This window comes from Homo sapiens, chromosome 1 (genome assembly GCF_000001405.40).
Source record: "Homo sapiens chromosome 1, GRCh38.p14 Primary Assembly".
Lineage (NCBI taxonomy): Eukaryota > Metazoa > Chordata > Mammalia > Primates > Hominidae > Homo > Homo sapiens.
The window spans coordinates 8,317,702-8,345,511 of NC_000001.11; the positions used below are offsets into that span (position 1 = coordinate 8,317,702).

Genomic DNA, 27,810 nt, shown 5'->3' on the forward strand with positions numbered 1-27,810 from the left:
TTGGACAGCTCCGGGCCCAGAGTCGCGACGCCTCCAGCAGGCCCGGCTGCCCCACTGCGCACATGGGCACAGGCTTGGCACACGCACTGCGGCATTCACGTATCCGCGAACACATGGGTATCTATTTATACATGAAGACACGAAAATGTATTTATTTCTTTTAAAATCAGAAGAAAACGGTGAGAACTGTGAGGCCGGGGGGACGTTTTCCTCCGGGATCCTGGCAGATCCTGCAGACCGCGCCGTCGTGCGCGAAGCACCGGGACGGGCCTCCCGCGGGAAGGGCCCAGGAGGACACCGGGCTCCCCTCCCGCCCGCGGGGCCCCAGACGCGGCGCCGCTTTAAGGCTCCGGGCCCCGCGCGGATGCGGAGGCTGCGGCCGTGACGTCAGCGCCCCGCCCCGGGTGATGCTGCAGCAGCCGGGACCGCGGCCGGGCAGGCAGCAGCCCAGCGGGGACAGGGATGCCTGCCGTCTCCACCCACAGGTACCACCGTCTCCTCCGCGCCCTCCGCCCGCTCTCTGGCTCCGTGCCTGCCGGGGCGCCGCGCCCTGGGCCCCGGGGTAGTCAGGGCGCCGAGACCGGGACCCGAGGCCGGCACGGAGACCTTTGTTCCTCGTGGAAGTCTCATGAATTGCAGAGTCCACGGAGCTCCCCCGTCTCGCCCCTCCGAGGGCAGGAGCCTCGGGCCCAGGGGAGGGTGCCGGCCAGATGGCAGGTGCTCTCATCCTTGCTGGCAAGGGGAGGAGACCCCGGCCTTGGCCCCAGCTCCTGATGCGCTCCTTGAGCCGGAGGCCTGGTCCCTAGTCACCTGGGCAGGTGTCATCCGCTCCCGGCTCACCTCTTGCGTGGGGCTGAGCCCTCTTGTTGACCAGGGGCCTGGCAACGCCCCTCAGCATCCCAGGGTTACTTAGCGAGGGCACCGAGGACTCCCCTTTCCCGAGCGAGTCAGCACCAAGGGGAACGCGCTGAGGTGGAAGCCGTTCAGCTCCTTCTGCCCTCGACAATCAGCAACTTCTCTAATTATTTCTAGAGTGACAGCCGTGCATGTTTTTCAGCTCTTACAGGGAAGCAGAGTCAGGGGCGGAGGAAAGCCACGTTCAGGCTGCACCTGGCCTGGGCTTTTGGGAAAAGTTGGCCCTGGAGTAGGGGTCAAGCTGCCGGAGATGCAAAGTGGGAAACGGCCACGATTCAGTAACTAGCCTATTAAGTGCACCCTCCCAAGTCCGTAGAGCACCTTCCTGGTCCTGGAGGACCTCACTGAAGAATTTTGAGAATGGGTAGAAAGAAGCATGAGGGGTCGGGCGCGGTGGCTCATGCCTGTAATCCCAGCACTTTGGGAGGCTGAGTCGGGTGGATCACCTGAGGTCAGGAGTTCAAGACCAGCCTGGCCAACATGGTGAAACCCCATCTCTACTAAAAATACAAAATTAGCCGGGCGTGGTGGCACATGCCTGTAATCCCAGCTACTTGGGAAGCTGAGGCAGGAGAATCGCTTGAACCCAGGAGGCGGAGGTTGCAGTGAACCCAGATCATGCCACTGCACTCTAGTCTGGGCGATAGAGTGAGACTCCGTCTCAAATAAACAAATAAGCAAATACGCCCTAGGAAGGGAGGTGGCCCAAGGCAACCCCGTGGGGGGAGCTCATTTTCATAACGAGAAGAAAGAAATGAGGAAATGGTTTCCGCTCGTAGTAGGATCATTGTAAGCATTCAAACTACATTGACATTGATTACTTTTATTAATCATTTGCCGCTTAAACTTCCCACAACACAGTTTGAGGAATCTGTTACTTTAAGCATCCTCTGTACTCTGGAAGCACAGTGGACCCCTTGCATAGCCTTCGGGGGATCCAGGGAGATGAGTGGATTTCCTTTTGACCGAGTAAATGGTCATATGGTACAGTAAAGATGGTCTGGCGAATGTTTGTATTTGTGCATGAAAATTAGATTTTATGATCTTAAATTCCACTTTCACCCATTTTTATGGGAACCTTAAAAATGGATTTTTGTTGTTGTTGTTGTTGTTTTTTGAGACAAGAGTCTCACTCTGTTGCCCAGGCTGGAGTGCAGTGGTGCGATCTCAGCTCGCTACAACCTCCACCTCCTGGGTTCAAGCGATTCTCCTGCCTCAGCCTCCGGAGTAGCTGGGATTACAGGCACTCGCCACCATGCCCAGCTAATTTTTTGTATTTTTAGTAGAGACGGGGTTTCTCCATGTTGGCCAGGCTGGTCTCGAACTCCTGAGCTCAGGTGATCCACCCACCTCGGCCTCCCAAAGTGCTGGCATTACAGGCGTCAGCCACTGTGCCCGGTCTCAAAAATGAGTTTCTAAAATTCTTCTTATGATAAACATTTGTGAACAGTTTTTACTAAATGTAGTTTTAATAAAAATGGTAATGCTGATCCCCAGATTTGAAGATGAATCCTTAGTAAAGACTTCTTCTGAGCCAGGATTAAGCTAGGTTTAATTCTGGTTCAGATGCTAGAGAGAAGTTCATTGAGTGTGTGAGGATCTCCCTTCTGCTAGGACAGGCTGCAGTGGGGTGTGGCGGAGGTGGCAGTAGAGTTGTCCTCTTGCAGGTAGAGAAGTGGGCCGTCTACATAGTCCACTTTAAATAAGGTCAAAGAGGCTCCTCTTTTCAAAAAGACACTTCAGGGGCTGGGAATGGTGGCTCATGCCTGTAATTCCAACACTTTGGGAAGCCAAGGCAGGTGGATCACTTGAGCCCAGGAGTTTGAGGCCAGCCTGGGCAACATGGCGAAACCCCATCTCTACAAAAAAATACAAGAATTAGCCTGGTGTGGTGGTGTGCACCTGTAGTTCCAGCTATTTGGGAGGCTGAGGTGAGAGGATCACCTGAGCCCAGGGAGGTTGAGGCTGCACTGAGCGATGATGACTGCACTCCAGCCTGGGCTAGATAGAGGGAGACTCTGTCTGTCTGTCTGTCTGTCTGTCTCTCTCTCTCTCTCTCTGTTTCTCTCTCTCTCTACACACACACACACACACACACACACACACACACACACACACCTGCCATATGCTGTTTAAAGCTGAAGTTTTTCCAAACTGGGCCACAGTTCTTCATTCCAAATTTAAAGGGAAGGTTTCTAATGCACTTAAGTTCACATTATGGTTAAAATGCTGATTAGAAAGAGTGGGAGATATGCCTGTGTGCCTGCAGGTGGGGAGAGGCTGGGCAGAGGGACAGAAAGGGAGATGGCCACTGAGAGCATACGTGGGGCTGTGACCTTTGGGCGGAGTCCGATCCAACCGTCCACCTCACCTGTGCTGGGTCTCGCCTCTGACTCTGAAGGAGATGGTCTTACACAGTGTTGGAACTGGCGCTCTATTTCTGTGCTTTTGATGAATGAAGCTCCAGGGGATGCTAACTGCTGCTTGGGGTTTTGAAAGGAAGACCTGCCAATCACCAGGTTTTACCATGCAGAAGTGCTTGAGCTAGGCCAGTGAGGAACATAAATAAGCTTAGCTTCTTAAACATGTTAATCTTGATTTACTCCTTATAAATGAATTCTATTTCAAATGAAGTATTACTTGTCTACATGGTTCTTAGGTTCATCTGTTCTCTTCCTACAGGAAAGCGTGGTATTTTCCAAAGCCACAGGATAAGTCTTTTATAGAAGTGACAGGAGACTCTGTCTCTGCTATATCACTCCCTGTCACCTTGGAATAAAACCCATCTCTTAGCAAGGCTTCAAGGCCCTCCATGATTAGCTAAGACCTTCCTGAGGGCTTCATCTCTCACCCCACCCCCACTGTGCCCAACTGTTACTCATATCTGTCTTTTACCCAATGATTCTACCCCCCAGGAAGGCCCTTTCCTCCACCTTTTTACCTAACTCAAGGACAAGAACTGTGTCTTTTATCTCTCTTATCTCAGTGTCTTGGTACTCAGTACTCAGATGAATTGGAGGCTGGGTAGGTGAGTGGGTGGATGAGTAAATGTTTGGAAGGGGGGATAGGTAGATGGGTGAGTGGAAGGATGGATAGAGGAGTGGGTGGAAGAACGGGTCGGTGGATGTGTGGATAGTTTTTGGATAGACAGATGAATAGATGAATGGAAGAGAGGATGTGTGGAAGGATGGATGGGTAGATGACTGAGTGGAAAGATGGATGAATGGATGTGTGGGTGAGTGGATGGAAGAGTGGCTGGTGGATGAATGGGTGCATGGATGGGTGGGTGGATGGATGGATGGATGGGTGGGTGGGTGGATGGATACGTGGATGGGTGGGCAAGTGGATGGGTGGATGAGTGGATGGGTGGGTGGATGGATGGATGGATGGATGGATGGATGGATGGATGGATGGGTGAGTGGGTGGGTGGGTGGATGGATGGATGGGTGGGTGGGTGGATTGATAGGTACATGGATGGATGGGTGGGTGGGTGAATTGGTGACTGAGTGGGTGGATGGATGGGTGGGTGCGTGGGTCCATAGTTACATGGATGGATGGGTGGGTGGATGGATGGATGGATGAGTGGGTGGATGGATGGGTGGATGGATGGATGGGTGGGTGGGTGGATGGATGGATGAGATGGATGGATGGATGGATGGATGGATGGATGGATGGATGGATGGATGGATGGATGGATGGATGGATGGATGGATGGATGGATGGATGCATGGATGGATGGATGGGTGGGTGGGTGGATTGATGGATGAGTGGGTGAGTGGATGGATGCATGGATAGTTGGGTGGGTAGATGGATGGATGAATGAGTCATTGGATTAACACAGTGTTCTTTATCCTGCTGGGATGTCTCTAGATCCAATCATTTTCACCATTGGTGTCTTCCAAAGAGAAGAAAGACAATCTCTGAGTGGGTGGGGTGGTGGAAGAGTTTTGGATACAAATCTGGAGTGAGGAATTTCAGAGTGATTCATAAATAATTTATTGTCTAGTGATAGTGTGATGGAAAGTGGTATGGTAAGTTAATGTCAGGAAAAAAGTGGCTTACTTTTGAAGCTTAAAACTAATTTTGAGAGAAAGCCCGTGATATTTATCTTGGTCAATGACAAGCGCCATCATCAGAAATCAATGTTGGGAAAGTTGTCCCAGTTTGGGGCCTACGTCTCAGGAAGGACTTCAAAGGGAATTTAGTCTGTTGCTTTTTTGTGGAGCAGGTGGGCTGTGTCTGAGAGAATCCTGGAACCCCCCACCCCCTCTGTTATGTTGGTATCTGTCTCTTTCCCTCTGATCTGAGCAGCTTTTCTCTCCTTGTGCTTATACAAGTGGACATCGGCTAAAACACACAAGCTAACATATTAGAATCCATTCTGTTAATATTAATAATCCAGATTAATTTCAAAGCAGTGAAAAACAGTTCGACACTTTGGAACCGGTGCCTAAGTGGTGCAGATTGCAAACCCCAGCTGGGCAGAGGACAGCGCGGGAGGGGAGTGGAAGGATGTCTATCTGGGAAGGCCTTGAACTTGCTCTCTCCTTACCTAGGTCATGGGCATTGTGAAAATGTTTAAAAAGTAAGTTGAGGCTGGGCACGGTGGCTCACGCCTGTAATCCCAGCACTTTGGGAGGCCGAGGTGGGCAGATCACGAGGTCAGGAGATAGAGACCATCCTGGCCAACATGATGAAACCCCGTCTCTACTAAAAATACAAAAATTAGCTGGGCGTGGTGGGGGGTGCCTGTAATCCCAGCTACTTGGGAGGCTGAGGCAGGAGCGTGGCTTGAACCTGGGAGGTGGAGGTTGCAATGAGCCAAGATCAAGCCACTGCACTCCAGCCTGGGCGACAGAGCAAGACTCTGTCTCAAAAAAAAAAAAAAAAAAAAAGTAAGTTGAAGCTGGGGGGTGGGGATCTGTTTCTCAGCTCTCCCTGGTTCTGTCCCTCTGCATTCGCATGTTGTCTGTGACTACGGGATTCCAGAGTTCGGCTTATTAAAGAAAGCATTTTCGAACACTGTCAAAGCCTCAGTTCTCCCCACTGGACTAAAACTCACTTGTCAATGGGTGCTGAAGGAAAAGGGTTTGTGTTAAGCCCATTCAGCTGCCTTTAGGGAGAGTGCCCTGGCCTACCGCGAAGGAGGGAACACAAGCGTTAGGGAGTGGAGAGGACTGGCTCTGACTCTATCTGGTGACAGAGGAGCTGTCCCCGCAACGCGAGGAAGCACTCAGGGTGCCGGGGGGGTGGTTCCTAACCATGCCCAGTCTCTCTTCCTCTCTGGTCCCCTGGGACCTTCAGGGAAGGGCAAAATTAGCCCTGGAAATGGGCCGCAGGTCCTAAAATAGCCTGGTGTCCTTGGAGGCCGGAGAGGAGCTGAGAGGCTCTCACTTCCTCAGGACAGTCCTGACCGAGCCTCTGTTTGGGGGATGGTCCCTTTGAGTTTGAGGTGGGGACCTGCAGGACGGGGGTCCTCTCTCTGAGTAGGGAAGGCACTGGGCTTTGGCCTCCTGGGGCAGAGGAGCTGCAGATGGGAAAGTGAGGCCCCGGAGCATCAACCATGAGCAGTGCATTCTGCTTTCGGGGGATGGTGTTTGACTCTAAATTCTGCAGTGTGAACTCAAATGTTGGGGGAGGACTACCCAGGCAAAAGTAACTGTGGCCTCCCCACGGGCTTTCCTCACAGGGACGCCCACCAGCCCTCCCCACGATGATCCCCGCAGCCAGCAGCACCCCGCCGGGAGATGCCCTCTTCCCCAGCGTGGCCCCACAGGACTTCTGGAGGTCCCAGGTCACGGGCTACTCGGGGTCCGTGACACGACACCTCAGTCACCGGGCCAACAACTTCAAACGACACCCCAAGAGGAGGAAGTGCATTCGTCCCTCCCCACCCCCGCCCCCCAACACCCCGTGCCCGCTTGAGCTGGTGGACTTCGGGGACCTGCACCCCCAGAGGTCCTTCCGGGAGCTGCTTTTCAACGGCTGCATTCTCTTTGGCATCGAGTTCAGCTACGCCATGGAGACGGCGTACGTGACCCCGGTGCTCCTGCAGATGGGCCTGCCCGACCAGCTCTACAGCCTGGTGTGGTTCATCAGCCCCATCCTCGGTGAGCCCCGGCTCCTCCCCGATGGTGGAGGGCCTCTGGAAGCCTCCAGAAGCCTCATCGCAGTAGCCTGAGGGTCCTGAGGGGAGAAGGGAGGATCAAGAGTTAAGTTCCCTTCATCAGTCTGGGACTGTGGGGAACACAGGTACCACCGGTCATATCCCAGATTTTAAGTTCCTTATCGAAAGCAGACAATAGAACAGGGATTTAGCAGCTCCCCGAGGGCTGACACCGTCTGATGCCAGGCTCTCCTTGTTGGAGGGTCCAACTCATAACGCTTGGTGTCATGTGAGCCTGGAAGGTCCTGAAATTTCTTGGATTCCCAAGGAAAGTCGTGGCTGCTTAGGGCCTTAGGGTCCAAAGTGGAGGATTTAAGGAGATGCTGAGCAATCCCCAGAGTCTGCTGAGCTTTGGTTTCCGAGTTCAGGGTTTTGTCACTGACTGTTTCATCATCTTATTCTTTTGATGCACTGGGGGTGTTTGAGAGCAGGCACTTCAGGAATGTGGAGGCTGATTCGATGTCCCCATGTGCCATGGGGACCCTGGCAATGACCGCTGGCCTGCTCTGTTTCAGGATTCCTACTGCAGCCTCTGTTGGGTGCTTGGAGTGACCGGTGTACCTCAAGGTTTGGAAGGAGACGCCCTTTCATTCTTGTCCTGGCTATAGGTCTGTTGTTTTGGCATGGAAATAAAATGGAGAGGAAAAAAAAAAGGCCCCAACTGCTTCCTTTTAGGAAAATTTTAAAAAATGTTGACCAAAGCAGTTACCCAGATAGCTCTGGGCCCGCACTGGTGTGAGGCAGGGAGTGCCCCGCAACCTGGCCTCAGTTAACTGTGAGAATAGATCGCTTTGATCATTTTTAAAAATTGAGTTGATAAAGTTCATCTCATTTCTTCTCTGCTTAATGAAATAAAAACCCCCATCCAAGTGCAAAATATATGGTGAGTTTGCAGGCGGCTTTTCCACCGGGCTGTGCTTGAGGTTTAAGTTTTAAAAATTCTTGAGTCCTAAAGATTCTAGACATAAGTCGTGAGCTGCCGGGGACAGAGCTGGTCTGCATTTTCTTGGGGTGACTTTGTTTCTCTGTGTCCAGGGGCACTGCTGGGCCTCTCGCTCTTGCTGAATGGCCGGGACATTGGCATCGCCCTGGCTGACGTGACCGGGAACCACAAGTGGGGCCTGCTGCTGACCGTGTGCGGTGTGGTGCTGATGGACTTTAGCGCCGACTCGGCGGACAACCCCAGCCACGCCTACATGATGGACGTGTGCAGCCCCGCAGACCAGGACCGAGGCCTGAACATCCACGCCCTCCTGGCAGGTGAGTCTCCGCAGCAGGGCCGAAGCTGAATCTGCCGGGCTGCAGGCTTCAGACGTGTGGCTTTCGAGGCCCTTCCTCACTCCCTGATTTAACAAAGAAGCTGGGAGAATTCCAATACATGGAGAAACACTGAAGTGATTGAAAATACATATCTCACACAACACATATCAACCACAACCTATGCTGTTGACACATAAACAACAATTATAGGTCTATAAATTCAAATGTTTATATTCGTGGATTCTCATTGTTTGAGGTAGTTATGTTCTGCAGAGTCACCACAAACACTGAATTAGCAAACACCGCATCTCGCTCCTAGGAAAAATACAGGGTTAGGTTCCTGTGAGCCTCCAGTCACAACGTTTTCATCAACGGATCAACACATAACCTTGTTGTATGTGTTTCTGTTTAAAACCCCTTATTTCATCTGTGCCTTTGGCTGATTAACATTGAATTGACGGCCGACAGCGCTGCAACTCAAGCCTGAACGAAGCGTCACTGTCGCATGCATTTTCTGCACAAGGCACATCCGGCTTTCTTGCACCTGGAAACGTCAGACAGCTTGGGGGCCATTTAAACAGTGAAACACCAACAAAAAACACAAAAATGTAAAAAAGGTGGCACTAAATAGACCACACAAAAAACTCTTGTTTCGGCCAGGCACAGTGGCTCATGCCTGTAATCCCAGCACTTTGGGAGGGTGAGGTGGGTGGATCACCTGAGGTCGGGAGTTCGAGACCAGCCTGACCAACATGGAGAAACGACATCTCTACTAAAAATACAAAAAATTAGCTGGGCGTGGTGGCACATGCCTGTAATCCCAGCTACTTGGGAGGCTGAGGCAGGAGAATCACTTGAATCCGGGAGGCGGAGGTTGCAGTGAACTGAGATCGCACTATTGCACTCCAGCCTGGGCAACAAGAGCGAACCTCCATCTCAAAAACAAACAAACAAACAAACACCAACTCTTGTTTCCAGTATGAGCGTGGAGACGAGAAGGCAGAGCTCAGCCCTGCGGGGCCTCAGCTGGATCACGCACCCTTGGAAGCACAGGCGTTGTGCTGTTCTGTGCAAATCCTTGAATGATTTTGAGAGCACCGTGAGGATTGGTTCTGAGTTTTCCTCACTAAATGAGGAGGTGAATTCACAAATACAGAATCTACAGATAATGAGGATTGAGTGTGTGTGCATGGACACACACACGACTATATCCATACCATGCATATATGTATGTATATATACATACCTGTGGCATGCTTAATGGTGAAACAGGAGAAATGTTCCCATCAAAGTCAGGAATGAGGCAAGAATGCACCCATCCCACAGAGCCACTGCCATTAGGGACACACAAACAAAAGGTGTGAGGTCAGCCCCACTGGTCTCTGGGGCTGGACGTATGGAAACTTCAAGAGAATTAGCTGCAAAGCAGTGCAGGAGTTCAGCATGATGCTTAGTTATCAATGTACTGTATAAAAATCAATACTGGTTGGGTGCAGTGGCTCAGGCCTACTCTCAACACTTCGGGAGGCTAAGCCAGGAGGATTGCTTGAGTTCAGGAGTTTGAAACCAGCTTGGGTGAACAGTGAGACCCCATCTCTAAAAACATAAGATTAAATAAATAAATAACTCTAGCTTGTCTATATAAAATACTTGCCTTGTTACAGAATAAAATGGAAGAAAAAAATTCCATTTAAAATAGCAACTGGGGCTGGGCGTGGTGGCTCATGCCTGTAACCCCAGCACTTTGAGAGGCTGAAGTGGGTGAATCACTTGAGGTCAGGCGTTCAAGACCAGCCTGGCCAACATGACAAAATCCCATCTCTACTAAAAATACAAAAAATTAGCCTGGCATGTGGTGCGCACCTGTAGTCCCAGCTACTCGGGAGGCTGAGGCAGGAGAATTGCTTGAACCCGGGAGGTGGAGGTTGCAGTGAGCCGAGATCGTGCCACTGCACTCCAGCCTGAGCAACAGAGTGAGACTTCATCTCAAAATAAATAAATTAAAATAAAATAAAATAGCAATTGGCTGGGCCGAAGGTAGTGAGTTATCTCGATTGATTGCCCACAGTCAGTTACAGATGGAACTCCTTCCTCTACTCTTTCCCCAACCCTCACTGCTGCACTTGACTAGTCTTGAAAAAGAAACAGATATTGGAACAATGTTTAAAAATCAAGGGAAAAGCCTAATGAGACATTAGGCCTTCATTACAGGACCCGAATGAAGAGGCTGGGTCACCCAGTGGTTAGGGGCTCGGGCTCTGGGAGCTGAAAGTCCACGTGGCGCAAATGGCTCTACTTCCACAAGCCTCGGTCGCATCTCCTGGAAAATGTTGCCGCTTCTCTTCCTCTTTCCACACGTGCGCTGCTGTGGGCGAGGGAACTTCTAAAGGGGCCATGCCGGGCGAGTGCTGGGCTTGGCAGAGAGGAAGAAGGACGTCGGTTTTTACCTTACGCCCGTCTATGAGAATGCACCACTTTGATCATTCAAGAAAATTAGCTAGTAAAGTTCATCTGGGCCGGGCGTGGTGGCTCATGCATGTACTCCCAGCACTTTGGGAGACCAAGGCAGGCGGATCACCTGAGGTCAGGAGTTCAAGACCAGCTTGGCCAACATGGTGAAACCCCATCTCTACTAAACATACAAAAATTAGCCGGGCGTGGTGGTGAGCGCCTGTAATCCCAGCTACTCGGGAGGCTGAGGCAGGAGAATCACTTGAGCCCAGGAGGAGGAGGTGGCAGTGAGCTGAGATGGTGCTGCTGCACTCCAGCCTGGGCAATAAGAGTGAAACTCCGTCTCAAAGAAAAATAATAAATAAAAAATAAAGTTCTTCTGAAATCTGACCTTGGATAAGGGTCACGAACAGCAATGGTGTCTTTCAGGAGGGGAGGAGGGAAGGCAATTAGAATCATGAGTGTGGGAAGTCAAGAATAATAAAATGCCTGGGAGGGCAGTGGGGAGGCAAAAAGACTCCCAAGTCTAGAAGAACAGAGGCAGAGAAGGGACGGGACTGGAGCTTTTGAATGGACACGCCAAGTGAAATGAAAAGGCCCGTCTGGGACAAACAAAGGAAGATCTACAGTGAAACCTCGAAATAATGAGATCCATGGTCATACGGTCCTTAGGTACGTGTGGAAGGCTGAGTTGGGCGTGTCTGAAGCCCAAGCCTGTCCATAGAAGTTCTTATTTGAAAGGTAAACCCCTAATGTGGCCAAGTCTTCCCTAAACCAAAAATCCCGTGCTGGTAGCAGGCAGGTTGCTCCTCACCAGCAGCGGTAAACCGAGAGAACCCTCCTCTCCTCTCAACACTAGACCGACTCAAAATGTAGCTGAACTCACAATAAAACAAAATAAAACACCGGATCCCTGATGGGGTGGGTGTCGTGGACCCGCAGCTGGCTGGGGTGGTGCCCCTGCAGCTTCCCTGGCTCTTGCCATCGAAGCACAGAGCCTGGCTGGAAGAAGCTGCAGTGTTTGGAGGTAAATCTGCCCACTGCTGTTGGCCGGGTCCCCACAGCATCGCTCACAGTTTCCTGCCATGCTCTGTGGCCAGGGCTGGGCTGGCCGGTGCCCCGAGGCGTGGAATGAGAACAGAGCAGAAACAGCAGTGATCCGATCCCTGCTTTTCTGCTGTAGGCTGATAGCTCAGAGATCGGAGAGCTGCCTGCCAGGGTGTGGGGAGGCAGGACCCATCTGTGGTCACCACAGGGGGCGGCTCTCCTCATGGTGTTCTGTGCATGGGGACAAACACCCGCATGCACACATGTGGTCGGCTGTGTGTGAGCCATGGGGTCGGCCCTGAGCTGGAGGGGCCCTCGGAGGGAGGATGTGCCCGGTGTCAACATTCGCTCCAGGGGCCTGAAAGGTTACGGGGAAAGTGGAACAGGCAGGAAGTGGAAGGGGATGTAGGCAGGTGGTCACTGTGCTGCTGCCGGGGGTCACACCAGGAAGGGCCCTGCAGGTGGCTGTGCAGGACAGGAGGGGGACCTCCTCAAGGGGCCCGCCCTGGGAATCCTGTCCCATTTTGTTGGGGTTTAGGTGGAACAGGTTCTGTGCCCACGTCCCTGGAATGGCCTTGGCTACCTTCATGTCCTTCTAAGAACGGGGCCACCGCGTTTGGGGCTTCTCCTCCCGCAGAAGGGAACTCAAACCCTGTCTCTTTCCCCAGGTCTCGGAGGAGGCTTTGGATACGTGGTCGGCGGAATCCACTGGGATAAAACGGGCTTCGGGAGGGCCCTGGGGGGACAGCTCCGAGTCATTTACCTCTTCACTGCGGTCACCCTGAGCGTCACCACCGTCCTGACCCTGGTCAGCATCCCTGAGAGGCCGCTGCGGCCGCCGAGTGAGAAGCGGGCAGCCATGAAGAGCCCCAGCCTCCCGCTGCCCCCGTCCCCACCCGTCCTGCCAGAGGAAGGCCCTGGCGACAGCCTCCCGTCGCACACGGCCACCAACTTCTCCAGCCCCATCTCGCCGCCCAGCCCCCTCACGCCCAAGTACGGCAGCTTCATCAGCAGGGACAGCTCCCTGACGGGCATCAGCGAGTTCGCCTCATCCTTTGGCACGGCCAACATAGACAGCGTCCTCATTGACTGCTTCACGGGCGGCCACGACAGCTACCTGGCCATCCCTGGCAGCGTCCCCAGGCCGCCCATCAGCGTCAGCTTCCCCCGGGCCCCCGACGGCTTCTACCGCCAGGACCGTGGACTTCTGGAGGGCAGAGAGGGTGCCCTGACCTCCGGCTGTGACGGGGACATTCTGAGGGTGGGCTCCTTGGACACCTCTAAGCCGAGGTCATCAGGGATTCTGAAGAGACCTCAGACCTTGGCCATCCCGGACGCAGCCGGAGGAGGGGGTCCCGAAACCAGCAGGAGAAGGAATGTGACCTTCAGTCAGCAGGTAACAGCAAATGTCGGGGGAGCTGAGGCTCAGAGGGTGGCATTCGGGGGTCCCCTGGTCAGTTACATGACAAAGAGGGAGAGTCCCTCCAGGAAGAAATTCCCGGCTGTTATGGGGGTGTTATCAAGTGCTTTGACCTAAAGAGAAAAGCCTTAGAGGCCAGGTGCGGTGGCTCAAGTTTGTAGTCCCAGCACTTTAGGAGGCTAAGGCAGGAGGATCGCTTGAACTCAGGAGTTTGAAACCAGCCTGGGCAACGTGGCGAAACCCCGTCTCTACTTTTTAGTATTTTAGTATTTTTAAAAAACACTTTTAAAAAATATTTTTAAAAAACACTTTTAAAAAATATTTTTAAAAAACACTTTTAAAAAATATTTTTAAAAAACACTTTTAAAAAATATTTTTAAAAAACACTTTTAAAAAATATTTTTAAAAAACACTTTTAAAAAATATTTTTAAAAAACACTTTTAAAAAATATTTTTAAAAAACACTTTTAAAAATATTTTTAAAAAAAAAATATTTTTAAAAAATACTTTTTAGTATTTTTTATACAAAAAGTAGCTGGGCTTGATGGCACACATGTGTGGTCCCAACCACTCTGGAGGCTGAAGAAGGAGGATGGCTTGAGCCCAGGAGGGTGAAGCTGTAGTGACCCATGATTGCACCACTGCACTCCAGCCCAGGTGACAGAGCAAGACCTTGTCTCAGAAAAAGAAAAGACAAGCCTCAGAAACGTGACGTCTTCCCTTGCATGTTAGTGAACAAGTTCTGGGCCTGAGTCCACCTATGAGTGAGTGAGTTCAGGACATCTGTTAGGTATCAGGTGGCTTAAAATCCTGGCTGGGAGCGACAGTGACAACTCTTTTTTTTTTTTTTGAGACGGAGTCTCACTCTGTCGCCCAGGCTGGAGTGCAGTGGCGCCATCTTGGCTCACTGCAAGCTCTGCCTCCCGGGTTCACGCCATTCTTCTGCCTCAGCCTCCCAAGTAGCTGGGGCTACAGGCGCCCGCCACCACTCCTGGCTAATTTTTTGTATTTTTAGTAGAGACGGGGTTTCACTGTGTTAGCCAGGATGGTTTCGATCTCCTGACCTCGTGATCCGCCTGCCTCTGCCTCCCAAAGTGCTGCGATTACAGGCGTGAGCCACTGCGCCCGGCCGACAACTCTTTTAAACACTTACGTTTGCCCAAATGTAATTCAGGCCGGGCCTGTCCTGCTAGTGAGTTTCTTAGAGGCATAGTGTGCACCCCACTTGTTTCTGGTATTTTTCCCAAGACGTCCGGGCTCCAGCCCGTTTTGGCAGTGGGAATCCTGTGCCAATACATCCAAGTCTTCATGGACGGTGGAAACAAAACGTGAAACCTGCAGATGTGTCTGGGATCGTCCCTCCTGGTGCCTGACGTCGGTTAACTTCCGGAGGCTATAAAAACAGGAATCTCCAGGGCAGCGCCATCTTCCACGAAGGCCAAGAACCTTCTGGAAAGCTGTTTAAGTTGGTATTTAAGTTGGTATGTTTAAGTTGTATACGTCAGATGGGCTGCAAGGCCACCAACTGATCTGTGGGGTTTCACGGGCTGATTTTTTTTTTTTTTTTTTGAGACAGAGTCTTGCTCTGTTGCCCAGGCTGGAGTGCAGTGATGCGATCTTGGCTCACTGCAACCTCTGCCTCCCGGGTTCAAGTGATTCTCCTGCTTCAGCCTCCTGAGTAGCTGGGACTACGGGCACCCACCACCACGCCCGGCTAATTTTGTATTTTTAGTAGAGACGGGGTTTCACCATGTTGGCCAGGCTGGTCTCGAACTCCTGGCCTCAAGTGATCCACCCACCTTGGCCTCCCAAAGTGCTGGGATTACAGGCGTGAGCAACCACACCCGGCCAGAATCCATGGTCTTTAAGTAAAGAAAGGTTATTCTCTTATTTAAAGTAGACATAAGAGTTGCTGGCCTGCACCTGTGGGCGTTGCAGGAGGAGAGTATATTTCAGTAAGAACGTGGTGTTTCCGGTCCTACAAAGCCGAGTCTCGTTTGCCTCATCCCTCGAGGGAGTCAGCTGGAAAAGCTGGGCAGCCTGGAGATCTAGCCGAGGAGACACTTCACTCGGCCGCAGACGCACGTGGGCCGTGTCTCCTGAATGAAGTAGACCCTGCTCTGCCCGGCCCCATCCCACTGGGTTTAAATGGGACCTGGTCCTCAGTTCATTCTCCCGTCAGGGGTTCAGGTGTCCCATCTCTGCCTAGATGACTTCCCTGATTTAGTCGGAGGTTAACTAGAGATGGGGCTTGCACTGTTCATTTTCTTTTCCTTTCCTTTTTTTTTTTTCTTTTATTTCTTTTCTTTTTTGATTATTTTGTCTTGTTTTGTTTTTTACTTACTTTTTTAAAAAATGTAGAGACAGGCTTTTACCATGCTGCCCAGGCTGGTCTTGAGCTCCTGGGCTCAAGTGATCCCCCTGCCTTGGCCTCCCAAAGTGCTGGAATTAGAGGTGTGAGCCACCATGCCCGGCCTTGTTTGGTTTTGTTTTGATACAGGGTCTCACTTTGTTGCCCAGGCTGGAGTGCGGTGGTGCATTCACGGCTCACTGCAGCCTCAATCTGCCAGGCCCAAGTGATCCTCCCATCTCAGCCTCCTGAGTAGCAGGGACTACAGGTGTGCACCACCACACCCAGCTAATTTTTTATTTTTTGTAGAAACGGGGCCTCACTATGTGGCCCAAGCTGGTCTTGAACTCCTGGGCTCAAGCCATCCTCCCACCTGTGCCTTTCAAGGTGCTGGGATTCCAGGCGTGAGCCACCGCGCCCAGCCCTGTTTCCTCCTTGGAGTGAGCAGGATGGGGCCTTTCGTTTGCTTTTCTCTGGTGTGTGTGGCCGGGGTGTCTTCACGCCTGCGTACCGTCTCAGCGTGAGGAAGGACACTGCCCAGGCATGCGCAGGCCTCACAGGGACATCTGTTGAGGTTCCTGGTGGCACCAAGGACACAGCGAGCTCCCGTCTGGAAAGGGTTTGAGGAACTGGAAATCACTGGAGAGCCAGGAAAGTCCATCCTTATCAAGGAAAGAGGTTTTCTAATCGCTCAGGTTGAGGGCACCGTCAGCCTCATTGTGGATGATGCCAGGGTAATTAATCTGGTCTTTGTCAACACTGGATCGTCCCAGACTGTTTCACAAAGTTCAAACTGGCTTTAGATCCGGTTGTTTAGGTGTGGTTGAAAATCTCTTCTTCATCCCCTTTTTCTGTTTCCTTTCTCCTTAGAGTGTAGTTTATGCATCAGTTCTTTGAGGAAAGTAAAAATCATGAGCTAAATATAAACGCATCCAGGCTCAACGGAGACAGAGGCGTAACTGCAGCGCTGTTCCTCCGCAGGCATGGGGGACGCGCTCTGCCGATGTGGGTGTCCTGGGAGCCGGCACTGCGGCCTCTCAGCTTCCTTTCCCACCAGGAGTATCCAGGGCGGACCGCACCACAGACATCCCAGTGGAGCCAGGCAGCAACGCCTCTTTGCTCTCAAACATCTAAATTCAAAAACGACTAGTTCCCCAAGGTGGGAGGACCACTTGAGGCCAGGAGTTTGAGATCAGTCTGGGCAACATAGTGAGACCCCATCTCTGTAACAATTTTTTAAAAATTAGCCAGGTGTGGTGGTGCTCGCCTGTAGTCCCAGCTACTCGGGAGGCTGAGGTGGGAGGATCACTTGAGCCCAGGAGGTCGAGGCTGCAGTGAGCCATGACCGCACCACTGCACTCCAGCCCAGGCGACAGAGCGAAACTGTCTCTAAAACAACAAAAACAACAACAACAACGAAATAACAAGCTCCCCTGACCAGAGTCTGTACCCCAAACCCAAGCAGGGCTACTTGGAATGAAACCTTCTCGTTCCAGGAGGAGTTTGCAAACCGAGTGAAGATGTCCATGCAATGTTGTTCTTGAGCCCCAGAAAGAAATCTAAGCCCCTCGCACCCGTTTCCATCCTGTTGACCGTGGGGCGTGTCGTGTGCTCTCTGAGCCCCTGTCAAGGGCTGAGGTGCTCATGTGGGCAGGGCCGCCCTGTCTTCTGTGTGGTGGGGGTTCCACCTGTCCAGAGAGAATTTTGAACACATGTTCCTGGTGGCCACCTTGAAATAAGTCGTTCCCAGTCTTCTTTTACAAAAAAGAAAGGACTTCCTAGGCGTGTGGATCTGAACTGACCCATGTTTTTTCATTTCAAATGTATTTTGCATTTTGCAAAGTCTTATCTCACTCCCTGTGGCACAGATAGTGTCCTGTGGCCACACTGTGGGCACACCTGAAATGGAATTCTAGCCTTAGCTGCTCCGGGGCCTCGGAAACAATGCCCTGAATTTGTTCCTCTGAGGTTGGCGTCGACACGGGGCTCATGCCGTCAGATAAGAAGACAGACCCTTGCAGCCTCCGTGCGGTGTTTCCGAGAGCGCATTCCCCTGAGCAGAGCAGGGTCTGCGCTGTGTGATGGGGGTGCGGGGCTCTGATGAGGGGTTTGTGGGCTCTTCCCAGGTGGCCAATATCCTGCTCAACGGCGTGAAGTATGAGAGCGAGCTGACGGGCTCCAGCGAGCGCGCGGAGCAGCCTCTGTCCGTGGGGCGCCTCTGCTCCACCATCTGCAACATGCCCAAGGCGCTACGCACCCTCTGCGTCAACCACTTCCTGGGTGAGCTCCCGGCCAAGCCTCCCCGTGAGTCCTGGTCCTGCTCAGGGCTCTCGCCCCACTGGCCTCCCAGGATGCCCCTGAGCCTCCCTTCCCAGAACCTTTCTGAGTTCACCAGCCCCCAACAACAGCACCAAGGGCAGGCCTGGGGTGTGGTGGCTGCCCTGGAGGGCTTTTCTCCAGGGTGCCTGCCCTGCATAGCCCCAAACTAAACCAGGTGTCACCATTGAGAGCCACATAGCTCACTCTGGGCCCGACACCTGGGTCCCCACAGAGCCAAAATTCTCACTACCAGAAGCCCTTTGGACAACTCCACAGTGAAATGATGGACCCACACCTTCCCACCTTCCCACCTTCCAACTTTGTCTTGCTCTGTCTTCAAGCACAGACCCCACACCTGCCTGCCCGTGTCTATTGCTGTTTGTAAATTCACACGGCTCGGCCTTTGTATGAGCATTGAAAAGCACCAACTTGCGTTTCATTCCATTTAGTCTCTTTCTGCTGTCGAGTGGTTGAACATTTGAGCATGATTCAGAATTTGAGGCCAGGCGCGGTGGCTCACGCCTGTAATCTCAGCACTTTGGGAGGCCGAGGCTGGTGGATCACGAGGTAAGATGATTGAGACCATCCTGGCCAACATGGTGAAACCCCATCTCTACTAAAAATACAAAAATTAGCTGGGCATGGTGGTGCGTGCCTGTAATCCCAGCTACTTGGGAGGCTGAGGCAGGAGAATCGCTTGAACTCGGGAGGCAGAGGTTGCAATGAGCTGAGACTGCACCACTGCATTCCAGCGTGGGTGACAAAGCAAGACTCCATCTCAAAAAAAAAAAAAAAAGAATTTGAGATAATCTGGGGCTCTCATACATTGTGGGACATAAATCAACATGACCTTCTAGAAGGCAATTTTGTAATGGGTGAGAATCTTAAAAATGGTCCTACCTTTTTCCCCTATGACCTTACTCAGTATTCCATGCAAGCCCATAATCAAAGACTATATTCAGAATATGCATGCAAGGTATTGATCACAGCATGGTTTCAGACAGCCACAGACTGCGATTGGGGGATAGAGATGTCCAACAGTTGGGGAAGGGTTAAATATATTAGGGTGCACCCACACTGTGAAATATTTTGCTGCCATCAAAACAAGTCTATTTAATAATTCTTGATGGCATAGAACATTGTAGATGATAATTCATTATGGTTCGAGAGGGCCTATAAATACCACCTTCCTCTACCAAAGAAGGAATTCCCATGGTTCAAGGAACGGAGCGCTAAGCACTTCCGCCAGCACATCCATGTCTGTGCTTCCCGGTGGATTTCTCCCAATTAAATGGATCCCCTCCCCTGCACCACCCAGGTAGCTGGAGCACCTCCACTGCTACCCTTGCCTCATGTTTATAGAAATATATGGTGGTTTAAAATAAAAAAATTGTAAGGAAACTCTGTTAGTCTGTTCTCACGCTGCTAATAAAGACATACACGAAACTGGGTAATTTATAAAGAAAAGGAGGTTTAATGGACTCACAGTTCCACATGGCTGGGGAGGACTCACAATCATGGCGGAAGGCAAAGGAGGTGCAAAGGCACATCTTACATGGTGGCAGGCAAGAGGGCATGTGCAGGGGAACTCCCATTTATAAAACCATCAGATCTCATGGGACTTATTCACTATCATGAGAACAGCATGGGAAAGACCCAACCCCATGATTCAATTAGCTCTCACGGGGTCCCGCCCACGACACACAGGGATTATGGGAGCTACAATTAGAGATGAGATTTGGGTGGGGACACAGCCAAACCATATCAGAAACGAACACAATTTTAAATTGCTTGTTACTTTTTTTTTGAAATGGAGTCTCGCTCTGTCGCCCGGGCTGGAGGGCAGTGGCGCGATCTCAGCTCACTGCAAGCTCCACCTCCCGGGTTCACACCATTCTCCTGCCTCAGCCTCCCGAGTAGCTGGGACTACAGGCACCCACCACCATGCCTGGCTAATTTTTTGTATTTTCAGTAGAGACGGGGTTTCACCATGTTAGCCAGGATGGTCTCGATTTCCTGACCCTGTGATCCGCCCGCCTCAGCCTCCCAAAGTGCTGGGATTACAGGCGTGAGCCACCACGCCCAGCTGCTCATTACTTTTATAACCAGTAGACGCATGTTGGTTAGAGAAAGGGCAGAGTGTTGGCCTTTGCCCCCGAGGTCATGAACCTCTTTCTTTCTTCCAGGGTGGCTCTCATTCGAGGGGATGTTGCTCTTCTACACAGACTTCATGGGCGAGGTGGTGTTTCAGGGGGACCCCAAGGCCCCGCACACATCAGAGGCGTATCAGAAGTACAACAGCGGCGTGACCATGGGCTGCTGGGGCATGTGTATCTACGCCTTCAGTGCTGCCTTCTACTCAGGTACCCGCTGCCAGCCAGGCTGGCACGGCAGTGAGAGCTTTGGTTGGGTCCATGGAGCATGCGAAATGAAGGCAGGTTCATGGCCTTACGATTGCAGACACCACATCCCAATTTGGGGGACGCCACTGTCTTTCCCGGCTGCAGGGCGCTGGGCCTGGGGGAGCTGGGCTGAAGAAATGGAGCTTACCAGCCTCAGGCCTCCCAGAGCTGGTGGCCTACGGGGGCACGGGTGCTTGTCAGGACCTGACTACACCGGCAGGCCATAGCGAGGGCGAAGTGGGGGGCCCTGGGGGAACCCCAAGGCCACACCCAGGCAGCGTGCTGTCCACCAGCCCCCAGCTCCTTCCCACTTTGATTCAAGGAGCAACTGGTCCCCAGGGAGGTGGGGGCAGGGGTGTGTGGTCGTGGAGCGTAGGGGTGGGCAGGGGCCAGGGGCCCAGATGACTTTGAGGTTCTCTGTCTGGGGTACCCTTGGAGCACAGTGCTGAGTTCACACCAGGGCGAAGCCGAGGTGCCATCCCCATGGGGCCTGGCCGGTAGCGTGCACCGGGCAAATTTTATCCCAGAGGTCCGCATACTTTTTTCGCAAAAGGCCAGAGAGTTGGTATTTCCGGCTTTGCCGGCCCAGCGGTCTCTGTTGCAGCCCCTCACCGAAAGCCACAGACACGGGAAACCGAGTGGGCGTGCCAAGCGCCAATCAAACCGCACTGTGTTCGCTGAAATACGAGTTTCATGTGATTTTCACGTGTCACAAAATATTCATCTTTTTTTGGTTTTTTAAATTAATTTTTTTTTTAAATTTACAAAACTAGGCTGCAGGCTGGACTTCGCCTTCGATCCATAATCTGCCAACTGCTTTATTTTAGTTGCCCCCATCTTTGTGGGTTCAAGCCCCAAAGTAGAGGGTCACTGAGGGGCTGCGGCAAGAAGAAATTTGTCAGATCTCACTTGTGAGTCCATGGGGTGGCACCTCGGGTGTTGGGTTCCCCCATAGCCATGTGGCCTTGGGGCGTGGGGAACTGGCCCCATTTTATCTGATTCTAGGGAGCCCCGTCGCTGACATCCATGCTGTCACATCATCTTGGGGGTGTAAAGATGGTGGCTGGCTACGGGATGGGCTGCTGTTGTACCCACAATTACACAAGAACACAGAGGTTTAACTCGAGACCCTCAGTCCCTGAGCCCCTTTGGTGTCACAGCCCCAAGACCCCTCCACCTGCAGAAGCCCTGGGGGACCTGGCCCGGGCCAGTGTGAACAGGACACCCTGGTCCTGCCATCTATCCAGACAGCCCTGTCCTGGGCACCCACCAGAATTACTGGGGTGGTCTCTCAGCTCCCCTGGGTTCCCCAGGAAGTACTTTCTGGTCTGGGGCAAGTGACCTGCCAAGCCGGGTCCCACCACTGCTAGCTTCAGGTCAGCCGCCGGGAGGTGGCACTGGAAGCTGAATCCCCGGAGGCTCTGGCCGTGTGGCACTGCTCACCCTCTCTGTGGCCCGCAGCTATCCTGGAGAAGCTGGAGGAGTTCCTCAGCGTCCGCACCCTCTACTTCATCGCCTATCTCGCCTTCGGCCTGGGGACCGGGCTTGCCACCCTCTCCAGGAACCTCTACGTGGTCCTGTCGCTCTGCATAACCTACGGGATTTTATTTTCCACCCTGTGCACCTTGCCTTACTCGCTGCTCTGCGATTACTATCAGAGTAAGAAGGTAAGTGCTCTCCCTTGTCTTGCTTCGGGTCTGCTTCTTGGAGAAACCCCACCTGAGAACTGTCCCCCAGGACCAGCTGCACAATCTGCAGAGCCCGGTGCAAAATGTCAAGACAGCGACCACAGAGCATGAAACCAAGGGGGGCCCTTCTGAGTCTGGGGCGTGCCCCCTGCCTGTAATCCCCTCATTGCTTCATTAGCAGAAGCCTCCAGCCCACCCAGGCTCTGGGTCAGGCTCTGTCCTTCCCAGGGATGTGGGGAATGGGAGGCTGCCCCTTCCTACTCCATTGTCAGGCCACCGGGTCTCCTGTTGATGCCTGTCCCAGCCATTCAGGGTGGGGCTTATGGGGAGGCAGTGAAGCTCGGAAAACTCAGCAATCCAGATCGATAACATGTTAATGCAGTATTTTTAAAAATCAGAATTCTTGCCAAAAATCCATGGAGAACAAAAACATCTTTCTTTCTTTCTTTTTTTTTTTTTTTGAGATGGAGTCTTGCTCTGATGCCTGTGCTGGAGTGTAGTGGTGCGATCTCGGCTCACTGCAACCTCCGCCTCCCGGGTTCAAGTGGTCCTCCTGCCTCAGCCTCCCGAGTAACTGGGACTACAGGCACGCACCACCATGCCCAGCTAATTTTTTGTATTTTTAGTAGAGACGGGGTTTCACCATGTTGGTCAGGCTGGTCTCAATCTCTTGACCTCATGATCCGCCCGCCTCAGCCTCCCAAAGTGCTGGGATTACAGGCGTGAGCCACCGCACCCAGCCCAAAATTTTAAATAAAGAGAGGATCAGTTCACCATGTACTAGGGGTTCTGATAGCCAGCTCAGCTCCTGATCCTTTTTCTGTGGGAACTTCAGTTCTGTCCTTGAATCCTGACTAGACGTTTCTTGCCCTCTGGTCTCAGATTTCTCTTGGCTTTTATTCCTTGATCCACCTGCCGGTTTTATCACCTCCCCTTGTTCCTCATGGCTTCCCATCAACCGTGGGTATTAGGTGACAGTGTAATTTATTAGATGTTGGTTTTGCCCAAATACTGGGCATGGCTTAATAACAACGAAACCATTTCATTATTTGGACAGGCCTGAGTACCTTATCAAGCAGATTAAAAGGATATGGTACCCGTCCTTTAGAAAAGGACAGCTGAAATCTCGTTACGGATTATGGATTTAGCATAAAGAAAAATAATCAGGCATAAATTAAGAGTAAGAGAGGGGTCCGGGCGTGGTGGCTCACACCTGTAGTCCCAGGTACTTAGGAGGCTGAGGTGGGTGGATCACGAGGTCAGGAGATTGAGACCATCCTGGCTAACACAGTGAAACCCCATCTCTACTAAAAATACAAAAGATTAGCTGGGCATGGTGGCGCGTGCCTCTAGTCCCAGCTACTCGGGAGGCTGAGGCAGGAGAATCGCTTGAATCTGGGAGGCGGAGGTTGCAGTGAGCCGAGATGGCGAGATGGTGCCACCGCACTCCAGCCTGGGCGACAGAGCAAGACTCCGTTTCAAAAAAAAAAAAAAAAAGAGTAAGAGGGACAATGAATAGAAATTTCACTTCACAGCCGGGTGCGGTGGCTCACGCCTGTAATCTCAGCACTTTGGGAGGCTGAGGCGGGCGGATTACCTGAGGTCAGGAGTTCAAGACCAGCCTGGCCAACATGGTGAAACCCCATCTCTACTAAAAATACAAAAATTAGCCAGGCGTGGTGGCGGACGCCTATAGTCCCAGCTACACGGGAGGCTGAGGCAGGAGAATGGCGTGAATCTGGGAGGCGGAGCTTGCAGTGAGCCAAGATCGCACCACTGCACTCCAGCCTGGGCGACAGAGCGAGACTCCGTCTCAAAAAAAAAGATAGTAATACTTTGAAAAAAAAAAAAAAAGGATCAGTAACAGTGCTGAGCCACCTCATATTGGAGTCTGAGGCAAAAGGAAAAATGGCATTTAAAAGGCCAAACGCAGTAGCTCACGCCCGTAATCCCAGCACTTTGGGAGGCCGAGGCAGATGGATCACTTGAGGTCAAGAGTTCAAGATCAGCCTGGCCAACATGACGAAACCATGTCTACTAAAATACAAAAATTAGCCAGGCATGGTGGCCCGTGCCCATAATTCCAGCTACTTGGGAGGCTGAAGCAGGAGAATGGCTTGAACCTGGGAGGCGGAGGTTGCACTGAGCCAAGATTGCACCACTGCACTCCAGCCTGGGTGACAGTGGCTATGTAAATAAATAAATAGGCCGGGTGCGGTGGCTCACGCCTGTAATCCCAGCACTTTGGGAGGCCAAGGAGGGTGGATCACGAGGTCAGGAGATCGAGACCATCCTGGCTAACACAGTGAAGCCCCTTCTCTACTAAAAATACAAAAAATTAGCCGGGCGTGGTGGCGGGCGCCTGTAGTCCCAGCTACTCTGGAGGCTGAGGCAGAAGAATGGCGTGAACCCGGGAGGCGGAGCTTGCAGTGAGCTGAGATCGTGCCACTGCACTCCAGCCTGGGCGACAGAGTGAGACTCCGTCTCAAATAAATACATACATACATAAATAAAGTGCCTTAAATTTTTGTTGATATTTTGCTCAGCATAGACTTTTACCGGCTGTATTGAAATATGCACCATCTAACAGTGTGTGATGTGCACCGTTCGGCGGTTTCAGCACACGCAGAGTTGTACAACCATCACCACCATCAATTTCAGAACAGTTTTGTCACCCCAGGAAGAAACCCGTCAGCCATCACCCCTCTGACCCTCCCACTCTCCCAGGCCTAGGTGACCGCTAACCTTCTTCCTGTCCCCATGGACTTGCCTATTTGGGACGTCTCCTGTGATGGAGTCAGGCAGTCTGCGGCCTCTCGTGTCTGGCATCTGCAGTGCAGCTGTGGGCTTCGAGCTCCATCTGTGCTGTTTCCTGGGTCAGCGCCTCCTTCCCTTTTATGGTCACATAATGTTCCCACCATAATTTTCCTTTGCAGTGACTTTGAAATCTTAAAATGCTGCATTGAAATATTACCTGGACAGTCTGGGCAACATAGTCAGACCCCATCTCTAAAAAAATAAAATTAAAAATTAGCCAGGTGTGGTGGCATGCACCGGTAGTTCCAGCTACTCGGGAGGCTGAGGTGGGAGGATCACTTGAGCCCAGGAGGCTGAGGCTGCAGTGGGCTGAGATTGTGCCACTGCACTCCAGCCTGGGCAACAGAGCAAGACCCTGTCTCAAAAAAAAAAAAAAGAAAAGAGAAAAGAAAGAAAGAAAAGAAATGTGACCTGGATTACTGAGTTTCTCTCTCTCCCTTTTAATCTCATGCCTCAGTTGCCTCCCCCAGGCCTGGGCCTGATTTGTTTTAGGGAGTTTGGAGTCTGACAAGTTCAGCTGGGCTGGCCCTGAGCACAGCCCTTCTGATGGGGGGAAGCCGCAGGGGAGGCCCAGGCTCCCAGGTCACAGCAATGCCCACTCACGCAGCACCTTGCAGGCCGGCTGGTGCTGGGGGAGCCCAGTGAGGGAAAGCCATGCCACCGCTCCCCACCGTCACTCTGCACAGACCACACTCTCAGCCACTGTCCCCCAGCATGGCATGCAGGGGAGGGAGAGTGAGTGACGTGCCCAAGCTGGAGGCCACGAGGACCTTGGAGCCTCGGACAGAGGACCAGCGGCTGTCATGTGCAGAGGACTTTGGGGGTGTAGGGCAGGTCCCATCCTGGATGAAGGTGAAGGAGGGGATGGCAGGAGTGGAGCGGTCGCCTGGCTGGGCAGATTGGTTTTCTTTGGGTGAGAGGATGGGGAAGAGCTCAAGTGCTGAGCGGGGAAAGTGTCTCCCGCCACCTCGGCCCGTGGGAGCTCAGCCCTCTGCCCCATTAGTCATGGATTCTTTTCATTGTCGTCATCTCTCCGAACACAAATATTGTTAAACTCTTGGCTGAACTCCCTGTGCATGTTGGCGCTGAAAAATGTGAGGCCGCTGTGTGTGGGCCGCTCGGGCCTCCTGGGCTCGCAGGACACACCGAGCTCGGTCACCCCGTGCTGGCCGCGGCGTGTCTCGCTGACACGTTTCTTCCTCTGGGTCAGTTTGCAGGGTCCAGTGCGGACGGCACCCGGCGGGGCATGGGCGTGGACATCTCTCTGCTGAGCTGCCAGTACTTCCTGGCTCAGATTCTGGTCTCCCTGGTCCTGGGGCCCCTGACCTCGGCCGTGGGCAGTGCCAACGGGGTGATGTACTTCTCCAGCCTCGTGTCCTTCCTGGGCTGCCTGTACTCCTCCCTGTTTGTCATTTATGAAATTCCTCCCAGCGACGCTGCAGACGAGGAGCACCGGCCCCTCCTGCTGAACGTCTGACATCGCGGAGCCTCGACTCCGGACACGCGCCTGCACCTGGGGGTCTGGAGCAGGCCGACCAGTGAGGACCAAAGGGCCTTGTTGGACAGGGGGACTGGCTGCCTACTGGAATGTAAATATGTGATAAAATAATAAATGACAGCGGCAAAGCCTATGGTTTCTAGGCATTGCTCTCTGGTGGCTGAGAGGTCCCCATGGGATTGAGTTACCCTCCTGAGGACTCGGGCAGGGGAGGTTTGTAAGAATCTTTTTTTGAAAGTAAAGGTGTAATTCAATGGTTCTCAACCAGGGGCAATTTTGCCACCCCACCCCCACCCCCAGGAAGACATCTGGCAAAGTCTGGAGATAGCTTTGGTTGTCACAACTCGGGGATGCTGTAAACCTCCCACGGCACACAGGACCGCCCCAACAGCAAGGAGCTAGCAAGACCCAGCTGTCAATTGTGCTGAGGTAGAGTGAGCCTGGTCTAACTGGACCATACATTCTGTACATTGCATCCCAGGGTAGAGTCACAGTATACAGGTCTTTTGGATCAGAAGGCCTCATATTCATTCACTTGTCCATTCATCCATTTATTCTCTCATCCATTCATTCATCTACCCATCCGCATATCCACCCATCCACATAACCATCCATCCACTCATCCAAATATCCTCCCATCCAAATATCCACTCATCTATATATCCATCCATCTACATACCCACCCATTCATCCGTCCACATAACCATCCGTCCACTCATCCAAATATCCACCCATCTGAATATCTACTCATCTATATATCCATCCATCCACATATCCACCCATCCACCCATCTAAATATCCACTTCTCCATATATCCATCCATCCATCCATCCATCCATCCATCCATCCATCCATCCACATCCAAATATCCACTTCTCCATATATCCATCCATCCACATATCCACCCATCCGTCCATCCACATAACCATCCATCCACTCATCCAAATATTTACCCATCTGAATATCCACTCATCCACAAAACCATCCATCCACACATCCACCCATCTACCCATCCACATAACCATCCATCTACTCATCCAAATATCCACCTATCCGAATATCCACTCATCCATATATCCATCCATCCACATGTCCACCCATCTACCCATCCAAATATCCATTTCTCCATCCATCCATCCTTCCACCCATCCTCTTATCCACTCATCCACCCTCCAGATATCCAGCGAGTGCCTGGGTGTGGCAGACAGTGGTTGGCCTGGGAATCCAGCTGTAAGTGTCCACTCTGCCCTGCTGGAACTGATGTGAGAGGAAGGGAGACACATGGCTCACTGAGGTTCCGTGCAGCGCAAGCGCAGGGAAGGAGGACAGGGCGACAGCAGCGTGTCTGGGTGGCCTCAGTAGTGAGGTGCCGTTTGAGCAGTGTCCTGATGAAGCCAGGGAGTGATCTCTGAAGTGAGCACTTGCTTGACAGGCTCGAGGGAGCATAGGCACCAAGATGCTCAGATTGTAAAATGCC

The 27,810-nt window shown here is 52.2% G+C and overlaps 1 protein-coding gene across 7 annotated transcripts, besides 2 other annotated features; it reads left to right on the plus strand.

The window, feature by feature from the left end:
• Positions 243–522: a silencer, noted in NCBI's record as "silent region_194". NCBI's record gives its function as "represses an Ori minimal core promoter by ATAC-STARR-seq in GM12878 lymphoblastoid cells {active_cell/tissue: GM12878}" and the evidence as "EXISTENCE:reporter gene assay evidence [ECO:0000049][PMID:35858748]".
• SLC45A1 (solute carrier family 45 member 1) lies at positions 413–26,464 on the plus strand. 7 transcript variants are annotated; one of them, NM_001379614.1, is made up of 9 exons: positions 413–485; positions 6,605–7,025; positions 7,597–7,689; positions 8,117–8,341; positions 12,508–13,235; positions 17,736–17,913; positions 20,115–20,291; positions 21,792–21,997; positions 26,046–26,464. In NM_001379614.1, the coding sequence occupies exons 2-9, from the start codon at positions 6,629–6,631 to the stop codon at positions 26,310–26,312; spliced, it is 2,271 nt and encodes a 756-aa protein (NP_001366543.1). In that variant the 5' UTR covers positions 413–485; positions 6,605–6,628; the 3' UTR covers positions 26,313–26,464. The 7 variants fall into 7 exon arrangements, with proteins under 7 accessions (NP_001366543.1, NP_001073866.3, NP_001366544.1 ...); NM_001080397.3 differs by having other exon boundaries at positions 17,736–17,889; NM_001379615.1 differs by lacking the exon at positions 7,597–7,689.
• Positions 25,175–25,915: an enhancer, noted in NCBI's record as "H3K27ac-H3K4me1 hESC enhancer chr1:8402936-8403676 (GRCh37/hg19 assembly coordinates)". NCBI's record gives its function as "activates a minimal SCP1, AML or CMV promoter by ChIP-STARR-seq in naive H9 embryonic stem cells {active_cell/tissue: H9 hESC(naive)}" and the evidence as "EXISTENCE:reporter gene assay evidence [ECO:0000049][PMID:30033119]".